Here is a 12,989-nt window from a genome sequence, read left to right on the forward strand (position 1 = left end):
ATATACAAACCATTAAGTAATTATCCACGGCATGCATTAGAAGTTTTATTAAAGAAACATCAAAGAGGAAACAATTAACTAATATTTTATTCACTCTTAAAAAAACTCCAGAACCCTTTCCTGAGTTTTCACGTTCTGAAATGGATTTCCAAGGCCTCAATCTAAGTCCTCTCCCCAGAGCAGAGGTATCTTTAACAACAAAAAACCTTATATAAACACTCAAGTAAATGTTCAATATTACTACTTATATAAATACTTGCAAAGATGCACACAGTTTAAGTATATAATTTGATGTGTATAAAATCATATCTAAAAAAAGCATAAATGAGAATATATACAAGTACACAGATAACATTATCATCATAGTCTACAAGAGATGCTGATAGCATAACAGGTTTTCTCCACTTCCTTACACATTGCAGCTAATATTGTCTTCCAACTTTCTCTCATGTGCACAAGAGAAAACTATAAATAGCTCCAAACTAGAAAACAGAAGGCCATTTGGTGAAAAGGATTTAACTCTATTTAGAATGGATCTAAAATTTCCTTTTACCTAAACATGTGCCTATAAATACATAAGCACAATTCATTTTATTAAGTGGTTACAAACATGAAAACTGACCTTTACCCCAGATCCAAAATCCTATAAAAATAAACTCGAAGTTAATTACTTCCTTATGCATAAATTCTGTAGTCTTGAATATGGCTTGAAATAAGCAGTGCCTAGAAATCTTGTTAAATGGCATTTGCTACAACAGTTTCAATATTTTCCCTCTTAAAAATATGAAAGGAAACTTTCTTTTATCATTTCTCTCATTCTACTTAAGAAAATTTGTCTCAAAGTGGATCCTTAAAACTAGGAAGGCAGGGACAGAAGGTGAAATGGTCAAAGTCCTTAGGAAATAGGTGAGCACCATCAAAAGAGCCAACCAGCTAGCCAGGGAATCCAGAACAGAAACAGGGTACAGCTTTTAAAAAATGTTTTAAATTTTTTAGAGACTGGGTATCACTATGTTGTGCAAGCTGGCCTCAAACTCTGGGCTCAAGAGATCCTCCCATTTCAGCCTCCCGAGGAGCTGAAATCACTCCTTTGGGAGTTGAGACTACAGGTATGCGCCACTGCACCTGGCTTCATCTTTTTCTTATTCCATAATAATATTCCTGTCTCTAGATTATGGAGGAAAAGAATGAAAGCAAGATTCTTGAGGGCTCATATGTTCTTCAGTTTATACCTGGTACCGTAAAAACTAAAACTGGTTTGTGTTTAATCCTAACTATATTTCTAAAAATTCTAATTCATAAATCATAGTTTGAAAGAAAAACAGAAGACCTATAAAAAGCTAAAGTTGGCTGGGTGCAGTGGCTCACGCCTGTAATCTCAGCACTTTGGGAGGCCGAGGTGGGCAGATTACCTGAGGTCAGGAGTTTGAGACTGGCCAGCCTGACCAACATGGGCGAAGCCCCGTCTCTACTAAAAATACAAAAATTAGCGAGGCGTGGTGACAGGTGCCTGTAATCCCAGGTACTCGGGAAGCTGAAGCAGAAGAATCGCTTGAACCCAGGAGGCAGAGGTTGCAGTGAGCCAAGATCACGCCACTGCACTCCAGCCTGGGTGACAGAGTGAGGCTCCACCTCCAAAAAAAAAAAACTAAAGTTGAGATCTAATGACTACAAGCTTTCATTTACATTAAATAAGGCATATATAAACTTAGCTACTTCCTACACTCATTTTAATCTATTTATCAACAATGGCATGTGTCTTATTGTTAAGTTGGTCTTGACAGTCTGTTGGATGAAGTGGCTTGAGTTACTAATTTTATAATAATCGAAACTGGGAAAAGTAATTAAATGGAGGAGACACAAAGAACCATGATATCAAGGTAGAGGGACAAAAATTAGAATTTGATTGTGAGATCTAATTCTTAATGCACACAGGATATAAGCACAGGGCACTGTCACTAACTCAGACATCTGAATCCAGTTATTTTCCAAGCATTTCTGCATCACATTTGTGAGATATGTGAGCATGTGTGATACCTACTGAAAATAGAAAATGCAGCATTACTAGTAGTGCATGGTTAATGCTGAATGAGATGATGGAGGGTTTGTGCCTTAAACTACAGAATCTAGGTGTTTCTGAGGAAAGTCAACATTCTTCAGGAGGCAAGATGGTCGAAGCTTGCTCCAAAGGAGGAGGATGCCAAGATTTATATGCAAAAATCTAAATAACTCTGCATAGCAGGCCAGGCGCGGTGGCTCAGGCCTGTAATCCCAGCACTTTGGGAGGCCGAGACAGACGGATCATGAGGTCAACTGTTCGAGACCAGCCTGGCCAACATGGTAAAACCCCATCTCCACTAAGAATACAAAAATTAGCTGGGCATGGTGGCGCATGCCTGTAATCCCAGCTATTCGGGAGGCTGAGGCAGGAGAATCACTTGAACCCGGGAGGCAGGGGTTGCCGTGAGCCAAGATCACGCCATTACAATCCAGTCTGGGCGACAGAGCAAGACTCCGTCTCAAAAAAAAACAAAACAAAAAACTCTGCATAGCATTTTTTTGGAAAGTCTTCTCATACAGAAGATAGTTGAGTCAATGGGCAGAAGGAAGAAGAAAACAATCAATGTCACGCTAGAAAATGTGTCCACCAAAATTACAGCCAAGGCACTACTGATCCTTCTGATTGACTGACCTGTACTTTCTCACCACTTTGACCATTGCAGTGATAATTTTTCCTTCAAGTTTAACTAAAGGACATCTATTTTATAACTCAAACACAATAGTGAATAAGTGTTTAATGCCATAGCTCAGGGAAAGCCTGATTTTCAAGGGTGTTTCTACAAATATCCATGCCAATTCACACTATAAAAGGGGGCTTAAGTTTAATTTTGCAAGATGAGAAATTTCTGGAGATGTCTTTCACAACGTTGTGGATATACTTAATACTACTAAACTGTACATTTAAAATCATTAAGATAGTAGTAATTTTATCTTGTGTTTTTTGCCACAACAAAAACAGTGGCAATCTTTAAAAAGGTGGGGGCAGTGCTCAAGGTCCTTGAACTACTACATGGCTTTTATTGAAAAAATTGTTGCAAGAAAAATTAGCCAATACTTTTACTAAACATATACTAATTTCTGTAAAAAAGTATCTTTAATATATGGTTACAAATAAAAATCCTAGTGTATACACCTGTGAAACATCAACAGTGTGTTAGATTTTGTGTCTACTAGAGGATTTAAATAAATTTCTACATTCATGTCAGATGGCAATTTTAATATTCTAGCCTCTTTCCTAAAACTGAAATCTAAAATTCAGGTTCAGAGAACACTAATTTTGCCTTGATATCCTCCTTCGGTTCCATTCTTGGTGTTACAATGACATAGTAGCAATTTTCCAAGGATGCTACAAGAGAAGCTCTGAACTCCCTATCTAAAAATCACTTAAAGAATGAGAAAATTGTTTCATGTTGTTCAAAATCGACCTTGTAAGGAATTTTGCCCAGGCTGGCCCAGAACAAGAAAATCTTACACCATTTATTTTAGGAATGTAAAGTGTCAGTGACTCAATGAGCTAAAGCAACAGCATTACTACACTTCTTCATCTTTGGCAACAGTTTAATGCTTTGAAAAAATAAAGCCATCATTATCTGCATAAATCCTTTTAGGAAATTCAATTATGGGTCAGATCCCAAATAAGCAGTAATCTATATTAGTTACTAGATTCAGCAATTGAAGACTGGACCAGCATCATTAACTTATCACTTATAATCTTCTTTTTCCCTTACCAAATGTCACCTCTCCATTTCCACTCTTGTCAAACAACTGGAAAGCCACTATGAACATGGAATCTGGAGCACATAAAACAGATTCAAATGCCAAAAACTCTTGATAGGAGATCAACCTGGAATAAAATATAAAACGTCATTGGCTGGTGAAGAAAGGGAAAGCATCAGGCATTTAATCTGCCTTTACTATATAAACTGTAGCTCAGGGTAACCAAATAATTGATAAAGGGTAGTTTGTTTTTATAGAGGTACTTCAGATAAGGAAGGAAAGGAGAATTAGAATATCACCCTTTTGTAAGCCCCTAGAAAATCAATGAAACTGGGCAATAATCAATAGCTCCTAACATCATGAAGAGAGAGAACCAGGCAAAATATAATTAAACCTGAATCTGATCAAGTCTCTGGATCAGTTTCTCAACCTCAGTACTGGTGACATTTTAAGTTGGATAATTCTTTGTTGTGGGGGTTTCCTGTGCTTTGTAGCATGTTTAGCAGCATCCCTGGCCTCTACCCACTAGATGCCAATAGCATCCCCAAGTTGTGACCAGCAAAAATGTCTCCAGACATTGCCAAATATACCCTGGTGAGCAAAATCACCCCTATTGAGAACCACTGCTCTAGAACTATTCACTAATTTACAGAAAACACAACAAACAAAGGAACATGTTCACTACCACCACATAAATGCAGACTGTAGGAAATGACAGAAGAAACATTCCATAGCTGCAGAAAAATAATTTTTAATGAAGCTATGAAGAGGATTCTTCTTTTTTTTAAGGGGCCATGCTAATCTCTGTATCATTCCAATTTTATTATATGTGCTGCTGAGGCAAGCACAGGGAATCTCAATCTTAAAAGACCTAAGAGATATAACAATGAATCACAATATACATCCTTATTTGGATTCCAATTTAAACAAAGTAAAAAAAAAAAGTTTTTTAATTTACAAGATAATCCGGGAAATGGAAATACCAATATAATACAAATGCTTGATGATATTAAGAAATCAATGTTTCTAGGAGGTTTTTTTGGTTGTTGTTAAGCATTATCTTTTAGAGATACACAGTGAGACACTTACAAATGAAATACATCATCTAGAGTTTGCTTCAAAATAATCCAGAGGATGGAGAAGAGATGGAGGTATAAACGAAATAATTATTTTGGTAATGATTAAAAGTAGGTGATGAATTCATAGAATTTACATTATTCTCTGTGTTATACATGTTTGAAACATCACTAATAAAAATTTTGGCCAGGCACAGTGGCTCACATCTGTAATCCCAGCACTTTGGGAGGCTGAGGCAGGAGGATTGCTTGAGTCCAGGAGTTTAAGACCAACCTGGGCAACATAGGGAGACTCCACCTCTACAAAAAGTAAAAATAAAAAATTAGCTGGGCATGGTGGCACACACCTGTAATCCCAACAACTCAGGAGGCTGAGGTGGGAGGATTGCTTGAGCCCAGGAAGTAGAGGCTGTAATAAGCCATGATCATGCTACCGCACTCCAGCCTGGGCGACAGACCAGACTCTGTCTCAATAAATAATTAAATTAAAATAAAACTTTTAGAGGCAGGGCACAGTAGCTCACGCCTGTAATGCCAGCACTTTGGGAGGCTGAGGCAGGCAGATCACTTGAGCTCAGGAGTTCAAGAGCAGCTTAGGCAATATGGTGAAACCCCATCTCTACAAAAAATACAAAAATTAGCCAGGTGTGGTGGTGTGTACCTGTAGTACCAACTACTTGGGAGGCTGAAGTGGGAGGACAGTTTAAGCCCAGGAGGCAGAGGTTGCAGTGAGCCAAGATTGTGCCACTGTACTCCAGCCTGGGTAACAGAGCCAGACCCTGTTTAAAAAAAAATTTTTTTTAAATAAAAATGTTAAAAGGAAAAATCAAAACAAAAAAGGTGGGAGCCAGGTGCAATGTCATGAACCTGTAGTCCCAGCTACTCAAAAGGATGAGGCATGAGGATCACTTGAGCCCAGGAGTTCAAGGCTGTAGTATGCAATGCTGGTGCCTGTGAATAGCCACTGCACTCCAGCCTGGGTAACAGAGTGAGACCCAAGTGAGACCCATTTCAAAACAAAACAAAACAAAACTTAACAAAAAGTGGGGGAAACTCATATGTTGGGTTTCTAGAACTTAATGAGTCCTATTATACTCAAGGTTATAAAATTAACCAGTGGTCAAAACTACACAGAAATTGCCTTCAGTGACCTTACAAAGCCAGCATATACTAGATCTTTCATAGCAAGCTTGCTACAAAGATTCCATACCATCTTGCTGCTCATTAGTAATGAGTGTCCAAGTAACAGCATTATAAAAATGTGTCTCATATGCATACAGATCTGCAGACTGGTCTTCAATGAAGTATTTTCCTAGGAAACTAATCTTTCCTTGATTGTCCAATGTTAATTACTCTATATATTTCAAAATGTGTTAATTGATACAAGGATTTTCTATAGTGTATTTTTCATGCAATTTCTGTTTGAGGAAGAAAAAAACAGACTGACCAATAATTTTAAAAATAAAAATAGGCTGATTATGGGTTTTCTTTAAAAAGGCATAACATATTGGTTTCTACAAAACAGCATCAAGACATAAAAAATACACCTACCCTGAAATACAGAATACGTAGCTTTAAAACAAATTTCATGCTCAGTAGTAAAACCTTCTATATTTATGAGAAGAGGCCAAAAACTTCTTCCTTAACTAGCAAAGGTCACAAACTATCAGCTGGCAGACTGAATTTGGTCCAAAGATGTGTTTTCTTTGGCATGCAAAGTACTGTTTTTTAGTTGCATTAGTTGACATTAAGAAATGACAAGATTTCCCATAAATACTCAGTTTTTCTGGTTTATTTTGATAAACTGCAAGTGTGAACAACACTAGGTTTCCGGTCCCAAGTAGCACCAGCCCCTTGAAGACAAGCAGTCTTTCTCCTTCAGAAAAGCAACCAAACAGGGCTCATCAGTTATCTATCTACAGACCACACTGTCCTTGTGGATTTGAGACTCTTGTCACATAGGTTTCCAATTAAGTAGCCCTTTGTTTAAAATAGAAAGTCTATGGAATTTACTAAATATCTACATTTTGTCTGTCAGCATATTCAAAAAGACAAATCATATATTCATGCAACTTTGGAGCCAGAAGGACCCTTAGAAAGGCAAACGTTAAGTGATCTTCCTCAAAGACATTCAGCAAATCAGTGAGTCTACTTAAAGACTCCTAACTCCTGCCTTCAATTTGGTGTTCTTCCATTACTGTATATCTCCTAACCCTTTCCCAATTTTAAAGCTATAGTTGAAAACCAGAAAGAGTATCTGGCATTAGTAAGTAGACCACTATTATAAGAAGCTATTGGGGTAATACTCAGCCATCCCTCAATACTCAGTTACCTTCAGATATATTCAGATATATCACGAGATATATATTCAGATGTATCATGAAAATACACAAAAGCACCAACAACTTAAAAATTAGTCAAAAATCAGCCTGTTATGGTGACACATGCCTGTAGTCCTAGCTACTCAGGAGGCCAGGGCAAGAGGATCGCTTGAGCCCACAAGTTCGAGGCTGCAATGAGCTGTGATTGTGCCACTGCATTTCAGCCTGGGTGACAGAGTGAGACTCTATCTCTAAAAAATAAATCAACTGAGTACATTATTCAGCCTTAAAAAGGAATGAAATTCTGACATATGCTGTAATATAGATGTGCCTTGAAAACATTATGCTAAATGAAATAAGGCAGACACAAAAGGACAAATATTATATTGTTCCACCTATGTGAGATAGCTAAAATAGTAGCAATAAGTGGAGTACTGGTTATCAGGGGCTGGTTGGAGTGGAAGGAAAGAGAATGGGGAGTCATTATGTAATTGGTATGGGGTTTCAGTATGGAATGATAAAAACGTTCTGCAAATGGATACAACAATTTTTTTTTTTTGAGACGGAGTTTTGCTCTTGTTGCCCCAGCTGGAGTGCAATGGCATGATCTCGGCCCACTGCAACCTCCGCCTCCACCTCCTGGATTCAAGCAATTCTCCTGCTTCAGCCTCCTGAGTAGCTGGGATTACAGGTGCGTGCCACCACACCAGGCTAATTTTTGTATTTTTAGTAAAAACGGGGTTCCACCATGTTAGCCATGGCTGATTTTGAACTCCTAACCTCAGGTGATCCGCCCACCTAGGCCTCCCAAAGTGCTCGGATTACAGCCATGAGCCACTGCGCCTGGCCTTGGATATGATAATGGTTGCCTAACAATGTGAATGCACTTAAAGCCACTGAACTGTCCACTTAAAAATGATTAAAATGGTAAATGTTATATTATGTATATTTTAACACGATAAAAAAAGTCACTTGAGGTTACCTAGGTGCATACATTTGTCAAAGCTCAGCAAATACACTTTTGAGATTTACGTTTTCTTACTATGTGCGAGTCCTACATTTAAAGAAAAACACTCAAAGGCTGGGCATGGTCACTCACACCTGTAATCCCAGCACTTCGGGAGGCTGAGGCGGGTGGATCACTTGAGGTCAGTGGATCACTTGAGGTCAGGAGTTTGAGACCAGCCTGGCCAACATGGTGAAACCCCATCTCTACTAAAAATACAAAAAAAATTAGCCTGGCATAGTGGCACATGCCTGTAATCCCAGCTATTTGGGTGGCTGAAGTATGAGAATTGCTTGAACCCGCGAGGTAGAGGTTGCAGTGAGCCGAGATCGGGCCACTGCACTCCAGCCTGAGTAACAGAGACACACTCTGTCTCACAACAAACAACAACAACAAAAAACCCTCAAAACAAAAAACACTAGTAAATAATGTGCATGCTAAAATATTTAAGAACTATATCAATGGCTGCACTTTACTCTGAAATGTATTAAAAAAAAGATGGATTGATGGAAGGATAGAGGGATGGATGGATATATGAAAAAGCAAGAATAGTCAGATGTTAATAGTAGAATCTGGCCAGGTACAGTGGCTCACGCCTGTAATCCCAGCACTTGGGAAGGCCAAAGGGGGAGGATTGCTTAAGCCCAAAAGTTCAAGACCAGCCTAAGCAACATAGAAAGACCCTATCTCTACAAAAAATACCAAAATAAATAAAAATTAGCTGTGCATGAGGCAGGCGCCTGTGGTCCCAACTATTTGGGAGGCTGACGTAGGGAGGATCATTTGAGCTCAGGAAGTCGAGGCTGCAGTAAGCCATGATCACACCACTGCATTCCAGCCTGGGCAACAGAGTGGGACCCTGTCTCAAAAATAATAATAATAAAAATAAAAATAAATAATAAAATAATAATAATAATATAATCTCTGTGGTAGTCTAGGTGGTAGATATATGGGTGTTCACTATAAAATTCTTTCAACTTTCTTGAATGTTTGAAAATTTTCATAATAAAATGTTGGGAGGAATGAGAGAAAAATAGGCCACTTGACAGTCTCTCTGATACTCTCCTCTATTTTAAGCCCACAGTCATTATATACTTACTGCATTATAATGCAACAATATTTTTCTGAAAGCAAGAAATAGTCTGCAATGCTAACATAAAGCAAGCATGTTCCAGAATTTTATTTATTTATTTATTTTAAGAAACAAGGTCTCAATCTGTCTCCCAGCTGGAGAGCAATGGTGCAATCAGAGCTCACTGTAACCTAGAACTCCTGGGTTCAAGTGATCCTCCTGTCTCAGCCTCCTGAGTAGCTGGGACTACAGACAAGCACCAGGATGCTCGGTTAATTTTTAAATGTTTTTGTATAGACGGGGTTTTGCTATGTTACCCCGGTTGGTTTTGAACTCCTAGCCTCAGGAGATCCTCCTGCCTTGGCCTCCCAAAGTGCTGGGATCATAGGTGTGAACCACCATGCCTGGCTCCAGAATATTTTTAAGGCTCCTTTTCCTTTTATCCTGCCATGGATTCCTTTATTGCTAGAAGGGCCCAATCAAGACTTTAATAGAATATATGCAAACCACAAGCTACTAACTGTTGAGTGAAGAAACTACTGATTAGTTCACACTCTATTAGTTTTCCTTGTAATGGGGATAAGGAGGTACTTTCACTCTTTACCGTATTACCCCATTGTCTGACTTTTTAGAAAGAACATGTATTCATTTTATAACTTTGAAAAATATATTTTCTGAATTTGGTGTGTTTTTTAAAAATTTTCTACGAAGCCCCTTTTTAATTTAGTAAATAGGAACTAATAAAATGACAAAATATTAATGTTAATTTTATAATTTGTAAAACAATCAAGATTTCTGCATAAAAGGTTCCTCTATATGCCTGTGTAACATAAAGGAAAACACTTGGGGAAAAAGTAGAAGAAAAGAACACCAGTTTTCTACATCACAGGAGAACAGAACCTCCAGATAAAATTCTGACTAGGACTAAATATAGAAACTATGGTTCTAGAAGTTACAATTTCAAGTAAGCAACAGTCTAAATATTTTAGATTAGATCACACAATTATAGTCTCTGAGATCTGCATTAAATGCATAAAATCATTTTGCTTTTCATTATACACCAGAACTTCAAAGTTTAAGCCACAATCCCACAAATAATACTTGGCTAATGGCTTTTACTTTTAGACAACTGATTGTGCTATTTATAATATATAATGCTGTTTTGTATGTTACATGGCTTTCTACAGCAAGCACCCATATCCAAACACTCCTACTTATTTTACTATCTACTGGGGGAAAGGAGATGGGGAACAAGAGAGAGGAACAGTTAACATCCCGGAAAACATGGGGGAAGGATTGCAGAGCACAAAAGAGCGTGTTTCAACCACTCCTAGACCAATTTTTCTCACACACTTAACCAAATCACTTGAACTTGTCTATACTAGCTCCACTCATTCAGACTTGGTCTTGAGTGGTTATAAGCAATATTATATGTTGCTATTTCACATAACATATCTATAGGACTCATCATCAGAAAACTATGATAGAACCAAGGAACACATTTTGGAGCAGGAAACAACGTACCAAGTAAGCTATTCTAATATTTCATCACTGCCCTGGGTTAAGGGGTAGAAAATAGAAAGAGGGAGAAAAGAGAATATCTTTTTTCTTTTTCGTTAAGACAGAATCTCACATTTTGCCCCTCAGGCTGGAGTGCAGTGGCTCAGTTATAGCTCACTGCAGCCACAAACACTTGGGCTCAAACAATCCTCCTGCCTCACTCTCCCAAGTAGCTAAGGCTATAGGCACACACCATCACAACTGGCTAATTTTTTTCTTTAATTGTGTAGAGATGGGGTTTCACCATGTTGTCCAAGCTGGTCTCAAACTCCTGGCCTCAAGCGATCCTCCCGCCTCAGCCTCCCAAAGTGCTGAGATTACAGGTGTGAGCCACTGTGCCCAGTAGAGAATATCTTTTTAAAAAGATGATTATAAGAAGAAAAATGGGCCAGGTGCGGTGGCTTATGCCTGCAATCCCAGCTCTTTGGGAGACCGAGGCGGGCAGATCACAAGGTCAGGAGTTCGAGACAACAAGCCTGGCCAAATGGTGAAACCTCATCTCTACTAAAAACACAAAAATTAGCCAAGCATGGTGGCATGCACCTATAATCCTAGCTACTTGGGAGGCTGAGGCAGGAGAATCACTTGAACCCGGAAGGCAGTGGTTGCAGTGAGCTGAGATCACACCACTGCACTCCAGCCTGGGTGTCAGAGTGAGACTCCGTCTCCGACAAAAAAAAAAAAAAAGAAAAGAAAATGTCCTACTTTAACAATGCAACTCAGCCTAGGAGAACCACATGAAGCTTCAAAGAAGATACACTACTGAGATAGAATAGAGCAGATGGTCATAAAAGGAAACATTTGAAAATATATGGATATTCTGAAATCAGGTCTTAGACCAAATTACTAACAATAAATACTCTGATAATTTCTAAAAGAGCTAAATATATATGTTACCTTTAATAATTCTGATGAAGGACTTATGATAGGTATAATTAATTTTCATTTGCTTTATTGTCTAATCATTATTGAAAGATCCTATGAGTGAATGATCCACAGTGATTTATCAGTTGATATATTTTGAGAGAGTAGACCTAAAAGGTATACAAGTTTCCCAATACCTGCCATTTATAAATGATATAAAATCTTTCCAAAACAAATATTTGTTGAACACATAGTAAATTTCACACACTGTGCAAGGTTCTATGGGACAATAAAACTGAATACAGTACTAATCCTGGACTCAAAGAACTTAGACACCAATCTTTCTACTTTATTACAATAGCTACCTAAATTGATTCTATTGCATGCGAGTCTTGTCCCATTCCAACCCACCATTTCTAAAATCTGTTTACATCTGTGGTAATGGAAATAATTTTTAGACTACTTACTGCCTAGTTTCTCAAAGTTTGTCACACAAGCACCTCAACAGGTAGGAGAAAGAGCCTAGGCCCTGGAGGCTTGGAGATGTAGACTGAAACTGCCATAACAAGCCAAAATTGTCTTTATCTAATTCATGCAACTATTACATTCACTCCATAATACAGCCATATATGATTTTAATACAAATAATGATTGCTTTTCTCCCCTGAGTTGAGTAAACTGACACTCTAGCAAGATGCCCCTTGTTATTTCTGTCTTTTCACACACCCATACACTACCAGGCTAAAAATACCTGCAAGACAGAGTCAAAAGCCTTCAGCCACTCCAACTACATCTCCCCCAGCAACAAAGCAATGCCACAGCCACATCAAAGTACTTGCAACACAACCCTCCTCCATTGCCATTCACTAATGTGAGCACATGCGCACGCACACACACGCCCCTTAATGTTTCATGCCGTTCCTGTTCCCTTTCCTGGAATTCTCGTCCCTACTTATCCAACTACTAACAAGCTTGTACTCATCCTGCCAGATTTCACTCAAGCATTACCTCTTCTGTGATGCTGTCCTGACCACCCAAAACAGTTAACCATGCTTTCTTGGGTTCCCTCTATTCCTCTCATATAGCTATGACAGCACCTCATTTCAGAAGTGTTACTTTTTTCCTTTGTTTAGTCATTTTCTTTCTCACTAAGCTATTACCTTCTTTTGAAGGCCAAAAGCCTCATTTAATTTATGTTTGTATTTGTAAGGCCCAACAGTGCCTGACAAACAATGGCTGTTCAATTAATGTTTGCCAAATAAATAGAGAAATAAATTAATAAATATCACTCCCTAAACTCTCCCCTAATTTAT

The 12,989-nt window shown here is 38.3% G+C and overlaps 1 protein-coding gene and 1 pseudogene across 3 annotated transcripts in view; both read right to left on the bottom strand.

The window, feature by feature from the left end:
• Positions 1-12,989, bottom strand: part of SLC25A12 (solute carrier family 25 member 12) — a 110,840-nt gene that overhangs the window by 68,641 nt on the left and 29,210 nt on the right. The window contains exon 4 of one of the 3 annotated variants that reach the window (NM_003705.5): positions 3,789-3,904. The exons of 1 other annotated variant lie outside the window; for it this stretch is intronic. In NM_003705.5, the coding sequence (NP_003696.2) occupies positions 3,789-3,904 (116 nt within the window). Of the gene's footprint in view, positions 1-3,788; positions 3,905-12,989 lie in introns of those variants that run through there. One more of the 3 variants, XM_047446142.1, reaches the window with a different exon arrangement.
• On the bottom strand, positions 4,521-4,625 carry RNU6-182P (RNA, U6 small nuclear 182, pseudogene; annotated as a pseudogene).

Source organism: Homo sapiens, chromosome 2, assembly GCF_000001405.40.
Source record: "Homo sapiens chromosome 2, GRCh38.p14 Primary Assembly".
Lineage (NCBI taxonomy): Eukaryota > Metazoa > Chordata > Mammalia > Primates > Hominidae > Homo > Homo sapiens.